The sequence below is a fragment of the Homo sapiens genome, chromosome 14, assembly GCF_000001405.40.
Source record: "Homo sapiens chromosome 14, GRCh38.p14 Primary Assembly".
Classification (NCBI taxonomy): Eukaryota; Metazoa; Chordata; class Mammalia; order Primates; family Hominidae; genus Homo; species Homo sapiens.
The window spans coordinates 101,849,788-101,868,137 of NC_000014.9; the positions used below are offsets into that span (position 1 = coordinate 101,849,788).

Consider the following 18,350-nt stretch of genomic DNA (forward strand, 5'->3'; position numbering starts at 1 on the left):
TTTCCTCACTCCTCTGCAACCCTCTGCTGTCACAAGTCAGGTGTCGATTTATGCATGAGCCTGTGTGACAGCACAGAGCCTGGCTGTTTTCATTCATGAAGCTTTACAGGAAGTCTTGATTTCTGGAACAGCAAGTCCTCCAGCTTGGTTCTTCTCAGGGGTGTCTTGGTTAGTCTTAACCCCTTGCATTTCCACATACATTTTAGAATCCATGTATTCAGTTCCACAGAAGTGTGTGTTGGAATATGGATTGGGATAGCATTGAATCCGTAGGTCAGTTTCTTACTCGGGTAACTGTTATCCACAGGCTGCTAGAGCAAGCATCAAATCAATGGTTAGCTAGTAAAAGCTCCCCTCTGAGTCGGGGATGGGTGCAAGGGGCCGTTCTCACTGCTCCTCTCAGCGTTGCCCAGAGGTCCTGGTCAGCGCAGTAGATAAGAAAGAGAAGAACAATGTGGGGACTTGCAGATGAAAGGAAAACCAGAGGGATTTAGCAAGATAGCTACATGTAAAAGTGATACTCAAAAACCATTTTTTCTGTATTGCAACAGCAGTTAGAAAATTAAGTGTTTTTAAAGATACCATTGACGATCACATCAAAACATAGCAAATACCTAAGAATAAAATCTGAAAATTAATGTTTTGCACATTTTGAGAAGAAAATTAGAAGACTTTATTGGGAGACATTTAAAGAGAACTTGAGTAATTGGCGAAACAGTCCATGTTCATGAATTGGAAGACTCAATCCTGCCAAATTCTTAAGTTCTCCCCAGATCTGTATGGGAAATATAAAGGGCCATGAGCAGTGAAAACGTGAGGAGGGACCAGGTGCAGGAATCAACCAGACATTAAGTCTTCTAGGGCTCTAGAAACTCAGACTCCAGGTGGTGCAGGATGAGGCAGTGGCCAAGAAGAGAGAGAGCCCTGCCTGCACAGACACTGCTCTAGGACACAGGAGACACTAGAAGTCATGGAGAAATGGTCATTTCAAAAAGTGGCATGTGAATATTATCTTTAAAAACAAAATAGAACTGCTGAGCTTTTGTTTACTTGGTGGGGGAAACTCATCCTCTGCTAAGTTTCCTCATCTGGGACATAGAGGGGAGTGGAATTTAGTACATATTAATGATGAATCCCAAATTTGCCCCAAGTTGTTAGTTCAACTTTGTTCCTACTCGTTTTGTACTAAGAATAAATACATTTGAAAGACAAGATGGCACCGTCGCTAAATGTTGGCTCCTGCCTTTCCGAGAGCTTGAGCGCTTCTTTCTGTTTTGCGTGAGATCTCTTGTCTGTGGGCTCGCGACTTGCATAGACCTCCCCAGGACCCTGGGAGCACCTTGCATGGAAGAATACACTTGGGGCTGGCATGGTGGCTCACACCCGTCATCCCAACATTTTTGGGAGGCTGAGGCAGGAGGATCACTTGAGCCCAGGAGTTCAGGACCAGCCTTGGCCAACATAGTGAGATTGTGTCTCTATAAACAATTTAAAAACTAGCTGGGTGTGGGTGCATGCCTGTAGTCCCAGCTACTCAGAGGGCTGGGGCAGGAGGATGGCTTGAGCCTGGAAGGTCAAGGTTGCAGTGAGCCAGGATTATACCACTGTACTCCAGCCTGGGCAACATAGTGAGACCCTGTCTCTAGTTAAAAAAAATAAAAACGTGCATGGAAGCTGAGGGTGCTGCTTGACCTGATGACGCTGTGGTCTCTGTGTTTGAAACTTGGCTGCTTCAGCTGCTTAGTGAATATTACGTGAGTGACCAGGGAGTACTTCCCACCCTTGTGAGCCTGCACATTCTGGGGTATCTTTTGAGTTGTCACTGTCTAGGCTGGTAGTTTTTGCAGCTGTGTCTCCTTGCTCCATCGGGGTAATGCTTATTTGGAAGGCCCCAACATCTGTGCAGCAGAAAGTCCTGGTTCTGCTGTCTTTCTGCAGCTGCCATGCTGAAAGTTGGTCCTTTATGGTGTCTTGGAGCATTTCTTTTGACCACCAAGACTTTTCATGTAAATGTGGGCTTGGCTTCTTTTTTTCAATCAGTTTCCTATCCACAGTTTACATGATGCCTCTTGGTGCATAGTGACAATTTAGTAATTCAGCCTTACTTCCTCATATTCTATGATTTGGTGGCTAAGCATGTATGTCACAGCTCTCACTCCCTTCTGTAATTGAGGTACATGTTGCTAGCAACATCGGTGAAGTTGGCTGTGGTATTCGCCGTTTAGGACTCATTTACAAAAGCCTTCACTGCCCAGTAGTGGTCTCCAAACTCTTCTGTCCACGCTTGCCTGGCAGCAAAAACAACCTCCAGCACACACCTCCACTGCGTGTAAATTTGTCTGTTGAATATTAGTATGTTGTAATTTCTTGTTCTTTGTAGAAGAAAGTATAAATAGACACCCTGCTGTTTTCTTCCTACGTTCCAATCTTGAGTAACCCCCAGGCTCACCCTGCACTCTAGATATCACTGACCAGTGAAACGCATTCAATTTCTGTACCTCCCTGACTGTTGGGACCAGGAGCATGTATAAAGCTAGACAGGAATGCTCCCAGCCTACTTTAAAGGAGATCTTTGTTAAACATCTCTATTTATCACTGATTAATAACAGGCTTCCCTTTAGTAAATACGTTTTTTAAAGAATAGCACATTCTTTTTTTTTCTTTTTTTTCATTTTCTTTTTCTTTTTTTTTTTTTTTTTGAGACAGAGTCTTGCTCTGTCACCCAGGTGGGAATACAGTGGTGTGATCTCAGTTCACTGCAACCTCAGCCTCCCGGGTTCAAGCGATTCTCTTGCCTCAGCCTCCCAAGTAGCTGGGATTACAGGCACCTGCCACCACACCCAGCTAATTATTTTGTATTTTTTAGTAGAGATGGGGTTTCACCATGTTGGCTAGGCTAGTCTCGAACTCCTGACCTCAGATGATCCACCCATCTCGGCCTCCCAAAGCGCTGGGATTACAGACGTGAGCCACCGCGCCTGGCCAGAATAGCACATTCTTATCTCCACCTTCTTTCTGTCATTTTGGATGCCCTGGGTCTTTTCTCCTCTTCTCCTACGGGTTTTGCATGAGTATGTCCATGTATATTGCTCCGGGGTATGATTGAGGATTTATCTTGAAATATTTGGAAATTGTCTCAAATTCACAATAACATATTAATTAAATAATGGGAAAAGCTAAAATGATCTATACAAGTATGAGGCATTTGTAATAACACTTTACTGTTACAAATCAGAATACGTAAAGGTATGAAGCATATTCTTCCACCACCTCCACCCATTTTTGTTTCCCCGTGGTACAGTCCTGTCAACGCAGCAGAAAATAAGATTTTTAAAATATGTTGATGAAGAAGTTGTTAAATTAACTTGTATTCAAAAAAAAATGGAAATATTTGATAGGGCCCAAGGATGCAGTTTTTTACTTTTTTACCCAATTCATTGTTACAGGTTTTTTTTAAAACAGTAAAATTCTTTTAAAAAAAAAATAGTCAAATGAGATTTTTTAAATGAAGAAAAGAAATGAAAAAAAGAGCTCATGAGATTATAATCACAGGCATATCTGCTTATGGTCTATAAGCAAAAATTCTACAGAAACACCCTGTCTGGAAGCCTAGAAGAATTGAAATTCACTTGCCTTTTAGAACAGTTTGGATAGAAATTTTATTAAAAACCGTGTTACTCTGCTCTTCCTTCTTAATTGTAATAAATTTGCTTTTGTGTTTGAATGACAACTTAGTCTTTTATTCTGAGTATCAGTTACTGTGCAGTGTTTATAACGCGAATGATGCTTTTAGGGCATTTTGAGGCATGTAAGAGTGATTTAACTCCACTCTGAATGATCCCAACATCCTTTTGAGTTTCAGTTCCCTGAAAAGGGTACATTTGGCCCTCGTGTCCGTATCTGCCACTTCATAGCACCGTGGCCTTAGGCAAGCTGTGTTGGCTCTCGTACCTGTGTCCTCGCCTCTAGATCGGGGTAACGGCACTGGCTTGAACTGCTGTTAGGAGGATTTGGCGAGGACATGTTCTTAAAGGACTTAACTGGCTACTCCTTAGGAGCCAAGCTGTGCATAGCGTGGCTCTTAGGGAGAACGGTGGACTCTCAGTTCTCTGTAGTGCCAAGAATGTGAGAATGCCAAACAGCTCCAAATACACAGGCTGCGACAACACACACGAGCTCATTTAAGGTAATCCTGGCAAATTAGGGTACAAACAAAGGTGTAGAATTGATGAGAATTGAAGGCAAGCAAAGAGGTAATTCCAAAAATGAACGTTTTTCATTGAAAAAGACTGGATATCTGAATGTGAAGAGTCCTGAACGCTGTAATGACAGTTACTCGTTTCAAATAGTTGCACAGCCACTGAGTTCTCAGAGTATTTAGGAATAAAATTTTTGTTCTCATGGTGTTTTAGGATCCTACAGGCAGTACACCCCACTCCCATGGCCTTGCGTGTGTGCTTCTGATCTCTGAATGCAGCGTAGGAAACAGGGAAACCGTAGCTTCCTACAGAATGGGTCTGCTCAGACAGCAGAGTCTGTGTGCTTGTTATTTGCAAGGCTCAATGTTGGGCCTTTGGGCATATAGAGAACTAGAAGACATAGTCACATGGCACCTACCCTCAAAAAGCATCTAGTTGGGAGTAAGAGGTACTAAGCAGATAGCTAACTGTTTAAAGCACTAACAAGTGCCAGATGACTTGCTCAGAGTCATACATCTTACCTAGGCAGTAAGGAAAGGCCTTGTAGAAGAAACCTCAACAGGAAGTTGACAGTAGGGGCAGGGAAGGGCAAGAGGAGTGTGGAAATGCTCGGCACCAGAGGAAGCAGAGGAGCTGCAGGAAAGCAGCAACACCCCGCCGCCCCCAGGACACTCCCTGGAGCGAGGCTGGCATGGGGCAGTGGGTCTCAGGGCCCCAGTGCTCCTAAAAAACTCTGCAGGACGTGAAAGAGCACTCTTTATGTGAATTTAGCTATTGCTACTGACCTATTTGAAATTAAACTGGAGAAATTTTTAAACATGTATTTATTAATTTACTAAAATATAATAAACATATTACATTTTAACAGAAATAACACATTTTTAAATGATCTAGCCACGTTGGCCAGGCGCATTGGCTCACACCTGTAATCCCAGCACTTTGGGAGGCCAAGGCAAGTGGATCACTTGAGGCCAGGAGCTCGAGACCAGCCTGGCCAACGTGGTGAAACCCCGTCTCTACTAAAAATACGAAAATTAGCTGGGTGTGGTGGCGCACATCTGTAGTCCCAATTACTGGGGAGGCTGAGGCACAAGAATCATTTGAACCCAGGAGGCAGAGGTTGCAGTGAGCCAAGATCACACCAGTGCATTCCAGCCTGGGCAACAGAGTGAGACTCTGTCTCTAAAAGAAAGAAAGAAAATACCCATGTTTTCTAAAACAAAAACTAATTTAGTGGTAAGAGTGGCATAGTTGTATATTTTTGCAAATCTCTGCAATGTCTGGCTTACTAGGAGACATTAAGACAAGGATTCCCCTGTCCGCTTCTGCATTCAGTCTGTTGCCATATGTTGCTTTGGTGGAAGTTTGGGAAAACGTGGTTGGGAAGGGAGGAGTATTTTAGTAGCCTTTTCAGATAGTCGTGGACATTTGCTTTGATATTACACCAAAAGTTAGTATGGGTCGTTTCTTAAAGGAATCTGTAAGGTGGAATCTGAAACTATATCAGTAAAAGCCGTCTGTAAATTTTATTCCATTAAATCAAGTGGTCTACTTTGTACTTTGAATGGCTCTTTTGCCCTTGAATGGTGTTAACACTATTTATTCATCATTTGGAAAATACTTGTTCACGGAGTTATGCAAATCTCCTAAAACATTTTGCAAATCTTTGACACATTTCAGTATGTATGTCAGTCAGTCCCGTTTATTCGTGTCACCACTGATCTCCTCTTCAGCCCAGGGAAGATGTCACGCTCACAGTGGCAGACAGAAGTTTTCCAGACTTCCCAGAATACTGGACCGTCATTCAGAGCTTGGTTTGAATTTAGCTTCATCCACTTGCCAGCACTGAGTGATTTTCTAAACCTCTTTCTTTATGTCTGTTGTGCTGTTATAAAGATTAAATGGCAAGAAAGTGTCAATATGTGTAAAGTTTTTAGGATGATGTCTGGCCCAGGTAAGCACTCACTAAGTAATAGTTACCGTTATTGCTGTTTCTAAATTGCCATCATCATTAACGTCAGTCGTCATGTGTGATAAGCCTTGACTGTAGACCAGGATGAGGGAAATGCAGTGTGCTTGGTGGGGCTCTAAGGTGCTAACTCTTTGAATGTTTGGAAGTTAACAGTCAGTTTGGACTGTTACATCTTTGGACTGATGCCAGTTGCTCTGTCATCTAGCAAGCGTGGACAACCACCTGCCCTTCCCATGTTGTAAGCTGAGGGCCTATAGGCAGACATAAGGAGGCATCCTTCCCCCTCTGGTCTTTTTTACCCTGCCTGAACCTAAATTCTGCAGATATCACCTGGTGTCAATGTGTCCACGCCCTTTCCCCAGACATGGACCTTACTGGTTGCCTCTCATTCCACTGCCCGACACGGTGCCTGTGATCATTGCTGCTCAGAGAGTATTTGTTGAATGAACACATGTAGATGGAGTTTATTTCTAACAGTGCTCTCAACATGGTTTGAAAGAGTTAAAAAGCATAAAAACTTCCTCATACCAAACATATAATATGACCAGCGACTAGCTGGGTTTTTTCGTTTTATTTTCTTTAAGGAATAGCCTTTGTTTACCCCACCCATCTCCTTTTTTCTTGAATCTCTATTCAAAATAAAAATAGAAGAAAGCTTAAATGTGTTTCACAATAACTTTGGGTTAAGCACTTTTGTGATCAATATACTTTGCTTTCTGCTTTTCAGATGTTCCTCCTGCTGATCAAGAGAAGCTTTTTATCCAGAAGTTACGTCAGTGTTGCGTCCTCTTTGACTTTGTTTCTGATCCACTAAGTGACCTAAAGTGGAAGGAAGTAAAACGAGCTGCTTTAAGTGAAATGGTAGAATATATCACCCATAATCGGAATGTGATCACAGAGCCTATTTACCCAGAAGTAGTCCATATGGTAAGTGATTACAGTTTAACCAGTGTGTCCCAGTTCTGATTTATAAACAGGACAGGCCAAGATCTCTGAGCCTAACACAGTGCTACCCAGGAGAAGAATCCTCCTGTTCCAGAATTTGTAGTTGTGCTTGAAGAATGAAAATTTTCTTTGTATCCTGGATTGTAATGATAATAATAGGAAGGGAAGTCAGTTGTCTTCTAGGGACCAGTCTAAGTGCTTTGCATTTATTAACTCATTTAATCCTCACAACTACCCTATGGAGTAGAAGTGTTAGAATTTGTATTTCTATTTATTATTTTATCTTCTTTAAATTTTTTTAAAACATATTTAACATTAATATACTAGTGCCTTTTTATAGTTCAGAAGTAAACATTTTGTCCATCCATGTGCAGGAAAATTCTAATGATGGGATGGAGTTGAAATATTGACAGAACCAAGCTGGTGTCAGAATAGTTCATGCTGATTGGCTGAGAAGGCCTCCACCTGTCAGTGCTGGGATCAGGACAGCCCATGCTGATTGGCTGAGAAGGCCGCCACCTGTCAGTGCTAGGATCAGGACAGCCCATGCTGATTGGCTGAGAAGGCCTTCCTCTGTCAGTGCTTCCTCTGTCATTCCTCTATCAATGACAGTATGTCCTGACTGGCTGAAATAGTCTTATCATCCTGCAGTTAGTTCACTGTTGGTTTTATTCAGCCCCCAGATCTCAGTCCTCTGAAGTGTCAAACTTTACAGCCCATTCCTCAGTCAGTACCACCTGGAAACACTTCATTCAGTGCCATTACCAAAATTCATTGTTTGACGCTGAAATCCAGTTTTCTGTTGATTTTTCTTGAATTGTTGATATTTTATCTGCCTTTGAAACTAGTACCCCCCACACACACACTTACTGGGGAGTCAGTGTGGCTTAGTGTAAAATGTTAAGTCCAATTTTCATTGAACTCTTTGTTAAGTTACTGATTTTTTTTTCCAAAGCTATATATTTCAGAATTGACTGGACTTCTTGACCTAAAATACTTTTATTTCCTTCTTTAGTATGTTTGCTTTGGAAAAAGATGAAAGTAATGTTCTTCGTTGTAGTTCAGTCTACTGTGTCAGAGGTTGAGATCAACTTGATTGTTTTAACTTGTTGTTTTTAACTCTTAAAGTTCAGAATTCACTGGCATGGCTACCATGTAGTCGGCCTAAGGACTACAAAGGCCATGCGGGTTCCTGTCCCAGACTTGTGCCTGAAGAAGAGTAATAGGCATAAACTGAGCAGAGAATATATACCCTAAAACCTTACCTGTTCAGACTAATGACACTTGGGGAATAGCTTTTTTCTTTCATTAATTTTAACTCTCAATTACTTTGGAGGCCCACTCTAGCCCCAGAATCATAAAAATCTCTAATATTTTCTCCTATTACTTTCATAATTTTGTTTTGCGCATCACATTTTATAATCTTTTTTCTTTTAGGTATGGATATGTAATAGTTGTACATATTTATGGAGTATATGTGATATTTAGGTAGAAGCATAGAATCCGTAATGATCAAATCAGGGTAATTGGGGTTTCCATCACCTCAAGCGTTTATCATTTCTTTGTGTTAGGAGCATTCCAGTTTTTTTGTTTGTTTGTTTTTTGTTTTTTGTTTTTTTTTATGATGTGGGTTAGGGATAGAACTTCATTTTCTTTTAAATTTATTTTCTTCTAAAATTATTGAAAAATTATTTCTCCCTACATCATGTATTGACTATTTCATTTCCCCCTATTGCTTAATGCTTCCTTATTATGTGTTCATTTTATTTTACTGTATGTTAGATTTATAAGTATATAAATTCTATATTAAGTTTACACGTGTGGAAGATTTTCCTATGTTTAAGAAAGTCTCTGATTCCCACTCTTTAACCTAAGAGGGAAGAATCTACAAAGAATGACAAGACTCCCGCTGGCCTGGTTCAGGTCAAATGCCCGCCCTTGAACCGAGTGTGCTCCCGACTGCTTGAAACCGCCTCTCGTTTGTATTTCACAGTAGCAGTGTGGGTTACTGGCACCACTTAGGATACTTAAAAGCCCTTGAGGCTGTTTTTATAGATTAAGTCATCATTGCCTCTCCTCTCCCTGTCATAATTGTTTCCTAACTTGATTCTCCTCCTGCTGTATTAACTTGTTTCCCACCCAAACCTCGCGCTGGGCTCCAGAGCGTTGCCAGCCCCTGGGCTCCCTAAGCAGTAAGCAGACACTGAGCATCCATCATGGGCCAGGCACGTTTTGGGGTGAGGAAATAGAATGGCGAACAAGACTTCTGCCCTCCTAAAGCTTTCATTTTCACCTAAAGCTTTCATTTTCACGTGGGAGACAACCATAAAATAAGCCAACCAATAATTTTCATTTTAGATTACGGTGATGCCGTGAATAAAAGTAATCCAGATGAAATAGATAGGGTTGCAAGACTGGGAATGTGATTTCTGCCTTATGCCCACGTGGGCGGGAAGAAGGCGCAGAGTGGAAACTGGGTGATGAATTAGACTGTCCTGTGAAGATGGGCACACATGAGATGCTGTCTGTGGTCACTGTGAGAGCAGGGGACATTTTCTTTCCTTTCTGCTCTAAGTTCAGAAGGCAACATAGCCTTTCCCTACCCCTTGTTTGTCTGGATCTGGAGGTAGAATAGGGGATGGGGACAGATTGGATTTTTGGTTTTGTTGTTTTGTTCTGTAGCTAGAGGGCATTGATGAGAAGTATAGTGAAAGAAGGAAGAACACAGGCGGTGGGGTGGTGCCTGGCCTTGGTTTGTGACCCTCTTGTCAAGAATTTAAGCAACCAGTACAAGGCCTCTGTCCCAAGCAGTGCCTGGGCCTGGTGTGGCAGGCAGCAAAAGCCTGGGCCTCTTTGTGGTTCACGTCTGATGAGAAGCTCTGCAGCTTAGAGCCCCTGTGTGCCCAACACTTAAGCAGCCTTTAGCCATGCCTGTTTTTCTCTTTGTTTCTTATTGGGGATGGGGGTGTGTATATTTTGGTCATAACAGTTTTAGAGACATTAATTTCCACTTTTTTTTTTTTTGAAGAATCCAAAGCTTTATAGTTGTTGTACTCCTGATGCTGCTACTTTTAAGTATCCTGCTTATTAGACTGGACTGCTAGATGGTTTTTTTTAAACAGATCTACTGAGGTATTATTCACATAGCCTAGAATTCACCCATTTAAAGTGTATGAGTCAGTGATTTTTAATATGAATATAGAATTGTACAGCCAGTATCACATCTGGTTTTAGAACAGTTTCATCCCCTCAAAAAGAAATCCTGTACTCATTAATAGTCACTGCCATTGTTCCCTCCTCCCTCACCCACCCCCAGCCCTGAGCAACCACTGATTGACTGTTCATCTCTATGGATTTGCCTGTTGTGGACATTTCATGTAAGTGGAATTACAGAATATGTACCCTTTGGTGTCCGCCTTCCTTCACTTAGCATAATGTTCTCAAGGTTCATCCACGTGCCAGTACCTCATGCCTTTTTATTGCCCCATAATATTCCATCATACAGATATACTACGTTTTATTTATCCACGTATCTGTTGATGGACACTATATTATGTCCATTTGGGGGCTGTTATGAATGACTGTTGTGAACATTGATACGCAAGCTTTTGTATGAACGTGTGTTTTCGTATCTCTTGGGCATATACCTAGGAGTAGAGTCGCTGGGTCATATGGTAACTTTAACATTTTGAAGAACTACCAGACCGTTTTCACAGTGGCTGCACCATTTTACGTTTGTATCAGCAGTGTACGGGAGTTCCAGTTTCTCCATATCCTCAACACTTGTTATGATCTGTTTTATTACAGCCGTCCTAGTGGGTGTGAAGTGTACCTCATTGTGGTTTTGATGTGCATTTCTCGACAACCAGTTGTGTTGAGCATCTCCTTGTGTGTTGTGTATTTTTATACATCATAGACTTCAGACCTAGAAATTAATGGAAACGTCCTGATCATCTAGCTTGACCCTTTTCTTTTCCAGATAAAAAGGCTTATTGGGTTCAGAGAGATGCGGGTGGTGAGGAGCAATTCCCAGGGGAGCCAGTTCTTGGCGTGCAGTTTCCCAGGCCTAAGTTATACCAGCTCCATCATTAATTTCAGCCGTATTTAAATATAATCAGCCTCCTGTTTTTTCAATTAAATTATCTAGTTAATCTGTTTCTCGGGCACAGACCTTCTTCTGATAGTCACAATACCAGTAGCAAAACTAATTGTAGCTTTTAAAAAACTCAATGTAGTAAAAGTAAAGCTGCTTTGTTAACAGTAACTAAAGAGTTAAGGTTAGGGGTTGCACCCTTTCAAAATCTGAAACTTTGACATATCTAGCAGTTTTTACATGGTTTCAGAGGGTTCAAGCCTCTTAGAGCCTACAGTAGACCCCAAATTAGGAAACGTAGAGTCTCTTCTAAATCGGGATTCTCATCCAAATCAGGGGATCACAGATACCTGGTCTCCTTGAGAGCCTTTCGGAGGGCCTGTGATGTTAGAACTATTTCCATCATACTGCTAAGACTTTAATTGACTTTTTCACTGTATTGAAATTTGTACCGATGGTGCAGAAGCAGTAGTGGGTACAACATTGCGCACCTTAGCAAGAAGCACAGTGATGGCACCAAGCTGACAACCACACACCCCAGTAGAAATAGAAACAGCCAGTTTCACTTAGTGGTCTAAATGAAGCAATAGAATAGATTAATTGTATTATTTCATGACCCTTGTGCACACATGGTCTTAGGACTCTATGATGAAATGTGAAGGTTTCATAAAGCTCTTCTGCTGCCGGCGCCAGTCAGGAGGGAGAGCGCTTGTGGGATGGAGCTGCCAGCCAAACATGCCGCTGTTTTCATGGAACACCATTTTTACCTGAAAACTGACAGACAAACCAGTTATTCGGACTTTGAATATTTGGCAGGCATCTTCTGAAAAAATAAGCAAAATGAGAAAGTCACTTTAAGGAAAATAACTGACAGAGTTTGTTGTCAGTGATAAAATGTGAGCTTTCTAGGGAAGTTTTGTTTCATTTTGTTTTTAGAGATGCCGTCTTGCTCTGTTGCCCAGGCGGAGTGCAGTGGCACAGTCATAGCCCACTGCAGCCTCGAACTTCTGGGCTTGAGTGATCCTCCCACCTCAGCCTCCTGAGTAGCTGGGACCACAGGCTTGCACCACCATACCCAGCTGATTTTTTAAATTTTTTTGTAGACACGGGGTCTCCACTCTATTGGCCAGGCTGGTCTCGAACTCCTGTGCTCAAGCAATCCACACGCCTCAGCCTCCCAAAGTGCTGGGATTATAGGCATGAACTATCGCACCCAGCCAGAAATTTTCAGTTTTGGAAAATTTGTATGCACCAGGGTGAGCTTCAGCCTCCCAATGCTGCAGACACTCCTGCTGAGCTCAGTGGTGATGGGAATGAGTGGGATTTTTAATAGATATGATGAAGTGAGTCACCACTTGGAAGAGCCACCTAACTCAATGAACAAGTATTTTCCAAATGACCGGTAAAGGTTACAGAGTCATTTGTGGCAAGAGAGCCATTCAGAGTGCGCGATCCAGCACTGGATTTGAATGTGAGAGTATAGACCCCTCACTGATAAGGTTTCAGCACCCATGCAGGAGCTCACCCCTAATAAACTACTACTGGTTGAGTTTTGATGTAGACAATGACCTAAAAACACTATTAGATAGATACTCCTCCCTTGTCAACTACATTGTCTGTGTGAGACCAGACTTTCATCCTATATTTCAACCTAAACATTCTGAACACAGAAGCAGATATGATAATCTAGCATTTTTCTATTAAAACAGACATTAAAGAAATTTACAGAAATGTAAAACAGTGCCACTTTGCTCACTTAATTTGTTCTGGAAAATATAGTTATTCATAAATACATGTCATTTACACTAAGACATGATGGATTTTTTTTTTTTTTTTTTTTTTAGATGAGGTCTTGCTCTGTTGCCCAGACTAGAGTGCGGTGGCATGGTCATTACTCACTGCAGACTCAAACTCCTGGGCTCAAGCAATCCTCCCCCTCCCCCTGCCTCAGCCTCACAAGTAGCTGAGTCTACACTGCAAGTGTGCGCCACCACAACTGGCTAATTTTTTTTTAAAGAGATGGAGTCTGGGCCAGGTGCAGTGGCTCATGCCTGTAATCCCAACACTTTGGGAGGCCAAGGCGGGCGGATCACCTGAGGTCAGGAGTTCAAGACCAGCCTGGCCAACATGGTGAAACCCTGTCTCTACTAAAAATACAAAAATTAGCTGGGTTTGGTGGCACACTCTTGTAATCCCAGCTACTTGGGGGTCTGAGGCAGGAGAATCGCTTGAACTTGGAAGGCAGAGGTTGTAGCGAGCCGAGATTGAGCCACTGCACTCCATCCTGGGCAACAGAGTGAGACTGCTTCTCAAAAAAAAAAGACATGGAGTCTGGCTATGTTTCCTGAGTTGGTCTTGAACTCCTGGCCTCTAGTAATAATCCTGCCCCAGCCTCCCAAGTTGGGATTTTTTTTTTAATTTCTGTGGTTTAATTTATAATATGGCCAATATCAATAGATATAGTTCTTATAAACAAAAGTTCTTTAGGATTTGCAACCGTTTTGAGGAGTTTAGTAGGGGCCTAAGACCAAAAAGTTTCAGAGCTACTTTTCTAAAACAGTGCCACTCAAAGGCTGCAGCTTCAACAGCCTTTAGGCTTGTTAGAAATGCAGATTCTTGGCCAGGTACGGTGGCTCACACCTGTAATCCCAGCACTTTGGGAGGCCAAGGCTGGCGGATCATGTGAGGTTGGGAGTTCTAAACCAGCCTGGCCAACATGGTGAAACCCCACCTCTACTAAAAATACAAAAAATTAGCTGGGCGTGGTGGCAGGCGCCTGTAATCCCAGCTACTTGGAAGACTGAGGCAGAAGAATCACTTGAACCCGGGAGTGGGAGGTTGCAGTGAGCCAAGATCGCACCACTGCACTCCAGCCTGCGCACCACAGAATAAGACTCTGTCTCAAAAAAAAAGAAATGCAGATTCTTTGGGTCCCACCCTAGACCTGTGGACTCTCTGGGGGTGTGTTGCAGTGCTGTGTGTTTTCAGTGCTCTCCAGGTCATCCTCAGGCAAGCCAAAACTTCAATAACTGTTTTGAATAATCGTCCTGCATTGTCCCATCTTTGGATCGTCAGTTCCCCCAGAGAACAACTTGTTATACTCTTGCATTTCTTCCACTGAATTCAGCACACTGCCTTTTATAGACTCAATAAATATTCATTCAATATGAGGTTTTCTGCATAGACTTGGGCATTAAGACTCGTCTTAACAGTCACAGATGAAAATAACCTGAAGATCAGAAAAGGAATTGCTTGGATTGGTGATTGAATGAGTCGGATGACTCAGAAGTACTTCGCATTAGAGTGGACCTCTCCAGAAATATCCAAATCTATTGTGCTGGACCACTGAGAACGCAACCTGGTGTACTCAATCATGCAAGAAATGTGTATTGCAGACACCATGCTACCTCTTGGGGCTACCCCAAGAACTAAAATAATATAGTCTCTACCTATATGGCATCCACCCTTACTGGTCTGGGAGACAAGAAGAGGCAGCAGACGTAATGATACGAGGGCCAAGGACTGCGGTGGCGGTCAGTGTAAGGTCTGGTAAGAGCACAGGCATAGGAGGCCTAACCCCTTGCCTGGGCGCCCCAGAGAAGTGGCCTCTCTACACCAGCGGCCAGTGCTTCAGGACTAGCTGGCTCAGTGAAAGCAATATAGAGGAGGGAAGGGGAGGGGAGTGTTCCCAGCAGAAGGAACAGCTCCTCTAAAGCCCAAAGACTAGAGAAAGTAAGACGTGTTTGGGTTTGAGCCAAGCCTGGAGCTCCCGATTGGGTGGGCTAGAGTCTGGATCCTGGGGAGCTTGATGGAACCCGAGGACCTGAGGTTGGGTGGGAGAGCTGGGACCACCCCGTTTGCTCCGGCTGCAGTGTGAAGAATAGGTGGGAATGGGTGTCAGAATGACGCATGAAGGGACCAGCTCAACATCTGCTGCGGCATTTCAGGAGAGAAGTGGTGGAATGAGCCAAGCGGCTTTGATGGCAGAGAGAAATGGGCAAATGCAGAGATGTTAAGAAGGTAGAAACACGATTCGGGGTGGATTTGTTTGAGATTCCTGGGGAGAGGAACCAACGCGCAGGTTTCTGACTTGAGCAAGTGGAATGCTGGTTCAGGGGAAAGAGCATGGGCCCTGGTGTAGGAAAGGCCTGAGGTGGGTCTCATCTGCTAACATTATTTAGAGCTCTTTGGGTTAACGGGGGCAGGCACCCAATTCACTGTTGTTTACACTCACAAGGGAGTTTACCAGGCAGACACTGGGTCTCTCACACTTAGTCCACAGAGTCACAGGGACAGCTTTTCCTTCCGTGTCCCATGTCCCCGCTCTCTGTATGCAGCCTTCCTTCTTTGGGGCATCCCTCTATGATGACAGAGGAAAGCATGGCCCTTGCTGGCTTGCCAGAAGAGGCCTGATGTCTCCTGTCTCCTACCTGCCCTTGATCCCGTTGCCGTAACTAGGGAGATGGGGTACTGTGGTTGTGACTCAGACTGGGTCATGTGCCCACCAAACCATGCGATAGAGTCAAGGAGCAAGAATTCCCCAGAAGGGAGGGAGTCGTGTGCTTCTCTGGGCAGATGAAACGGTCGGATCTGTACCCAACTTTAATCTGCTAACTGTGCTACTTTGGGTGAACGGCTTGGTTCTGCAAGCTTGGTTCTGTCTGCTGCAGACAAATAGCTGTAATGCTTCTGCCTCACAGAGCAGCTAGGATGAAAGGGGAACACATGGAAAGCTTGGGCAGCCCCCGTGACAAAGTTGTCAGTGTCCTCGGAAGTGGCCAGAAAGAGACAAGCCTCCAAGATTTCTCAGAATGCTTACCAGGGGGACGCCTCAATGCAGCCTTCTTTCTTCATATTCGTACGGGACTTATTTCTAATTCTCGCTCCAGACTCTGATATCTTGAGGTTACTTAACTTTTTTTTGAGACAGAGTCTTTCTCTGTCGCCAGGCTGGAGTGCAGTGGCGTAATCTCGGCTCACTGCAACCTCCCAGGTTCAAGTAATTCTCCTGCCTCAGCCTCCCAAGTAGCTGGGATTACAGGCATGCGCCACCACACCCAGCTAATTTTTGTATTTTTAATAGAGACAGGGTTTCACCATGTTGGCCAGGATGATCTCAAACTCCTGATCTCAGGTGATCTGCCCACCTCAGCCTCCCAGAGTACTGGGATAACTGGCGTGAGCCAGCGCCCAGCCTCTATTTTCTTATTTAGAAAGTTATCATGCTGTGGAACTACTTCATAGAGAGTTAGTTAGATTAGTTTAAATGGTGATTGGAAGATTAAAAATACATGGTCTGAAGTATGATTTCATGTTTGTAACATATAAATAAATTCATGAAAATAAAATCAAACTTAGGGAGAGAAAGTAACTTGTGAAATACTCTACAGAGTACGGTGACCCAGCCCTGTGGCACCATCCACACCACAGATTGATTTGGTTCCATTTTATCGATAGATTTTTAAAATAAAGCTGAAGGCCTCGCCAACATGGTGAAACCCCATCTCTACTAAAAATACAAAAATTAGCTGGGCATGGTGTTGCACACCTGTAATCCCAGCTACTTGGGAGGCTGAGGCAGGAGAATCGCTTAAACCCTGGAGGCGGAGGTTGCAGTGAGCCAAGATCACGCTACTGTGCTCCAACCTGACGGACAGAGCAAGACTCCGTCTCAAAAAAATAAATAAATAAATAAAAAAGCTGAAGGAATATAGTACAAACTGTTAATAGTAGGTGTCTTTGGGTGGTATCATTAATTTTTCCCTTTTACTATACACTTTTGTAATTTTTAAAAAAATTCAGAATGGGCCAGGCACAGTGGCTCATGCCTATAATCCAACTTTGGGAGGCCAGGGCAGGAGGATCACTTGAGATCAGGAGTTGGAGACCAGCCTGGGCAACGTAGCAAGACCTTGTGTCTACAAAAAAAATTTTTTTAGGCCGGGCACGGTGGCTCACACCTGTAATCCCAGCACTTTGGGAGGCTGAAGCGGACAGATCACCTGAAGTTAGGAGTTCAAGAGCAGCCTGGCCAACGTGGTGGAACCCTGTCTCTACTAAAATTACAAAAATTAGCCAGGCGTGGTGGCGCATGCCTGTAATCTCAGCTACTCGGGAGGCTGAGGCAAGAGAATTGCTTGAACCCAGGAGGCAGAGGTTGCAGTAAGCTGAGATCATGCAACTGTACTCCAGCCTGGGCGACAGAGCGAGACTCTGTCAAAAAAAAAAAAGCAAGAAGAAAGAGAAAGTTTTTTAATAGCTGGGTGTGGTGGCGCACGCCTGCACCTATATGCCTAGCTACTCGGTCGGGGCTGAGGTGGGAGGCTTGTTTGAGCTCAGGAGCTTAAGGCTGCAATGAGGTATGATTGTGCCACTGCACTCCTACCTGGGCAACAGAGCAAGACTCTGCCTCAAAAAAAAAAATTAATAATTATGTACCACATTTGTCATCATCAAAAACCAGTAAAGATATTTTTCTTTCTTAAAAATAAAAACAAGCGGCCAGGCGCGGTAGCTCATGCCTGTAATCCCAGCACTTTGGGAAGCCGAGGCAGGTGGATCACCTGAGGTCAGGAGCTCGAGACCAGCCTGACCAGTATGGTGTAACCTCATCTCTACTAAAAATATGAAAATTAGCCAGGCATGGTGGCGGGCACCTGTAGTCCCAGCTACTCGGGAGGCTGAGGCAGAAGGATTGCTGGAACCCTGGAGGTGGAGGTTGCAGTGAGCCAAGATTGCACCACTGCACTCCAGCCTGAGCGACAGAGCAAGATTCCATCAAAAAAATTAATTAATTAATTAAAAAGATAAAATAAAAACAAGCTATCCGTATGTAATATAGTACTGTTTTTATCAGGACTCTTGTTGGTTTCCAGGGAAAACTAGTTGATCACATTATTTTAATCCGCACTGTCTGTAAGTGATTTGATGTTGACTTACACGTTTTATGGGCATGAGAGTGTTCTTAGGATCTGTTGGCCGGGTCCTGGGGGAGGTCTCACACCCTGCACCCCCAGATGGGTGTCCTGTGCTTCACTTAGGGACTGATGTGGGGCACGTTCCTTCTTCTATTTTTATAGCTGATATTTACAGTGTGTTCTGGAAAGTTTTACTTGCTATAAGGGTGATGATAGTTTGGGAG

At 43.4% G+C, this 18,350-nt stretch overlaps 1 protein-coding gene across 29 annotated transcripts in view, besides 1 other annotated feature; it reads left to right on the forward strand.

Moving 5' to 3' along the window:
• PPP2R5C (protein phosphatase 2 regulatory subunit B'gamma) overlaps window positions 1–18,350 on the forward strand; it is a 167,420-nt gene that overhangs the window by 89,215 nt on the left and 59,855 nt on the right. For all 29 annotated transcript variants that reach the window (XM_005267819.2, XM_005267824.2, XM_005267827.2 and 26 more), the window contains one exon: window positions 6,899–7,098. In XM_005267819.2, coding sequence (XP_005267876.1) covers window positions 6,899–7,098 — 200 coding nt within the window. The remainder of the gene's footprint in view (window positions 1–6,898; window positions 7,099–18,350) is intronic.
• Window positions 2,263–2,372: an enhancer, noted in NCBI's record as "active region_9055". NCBI's record gives its function as "activates an Ori minimal core promoter by ATAC-STARR-seq in GM12878 lymphoblastoid cells {active_cell/tissue: GM12878}" and the evidence as "EXISTENCE:reporter gene assay evidence [ECO:0000049][PMID:35858748]".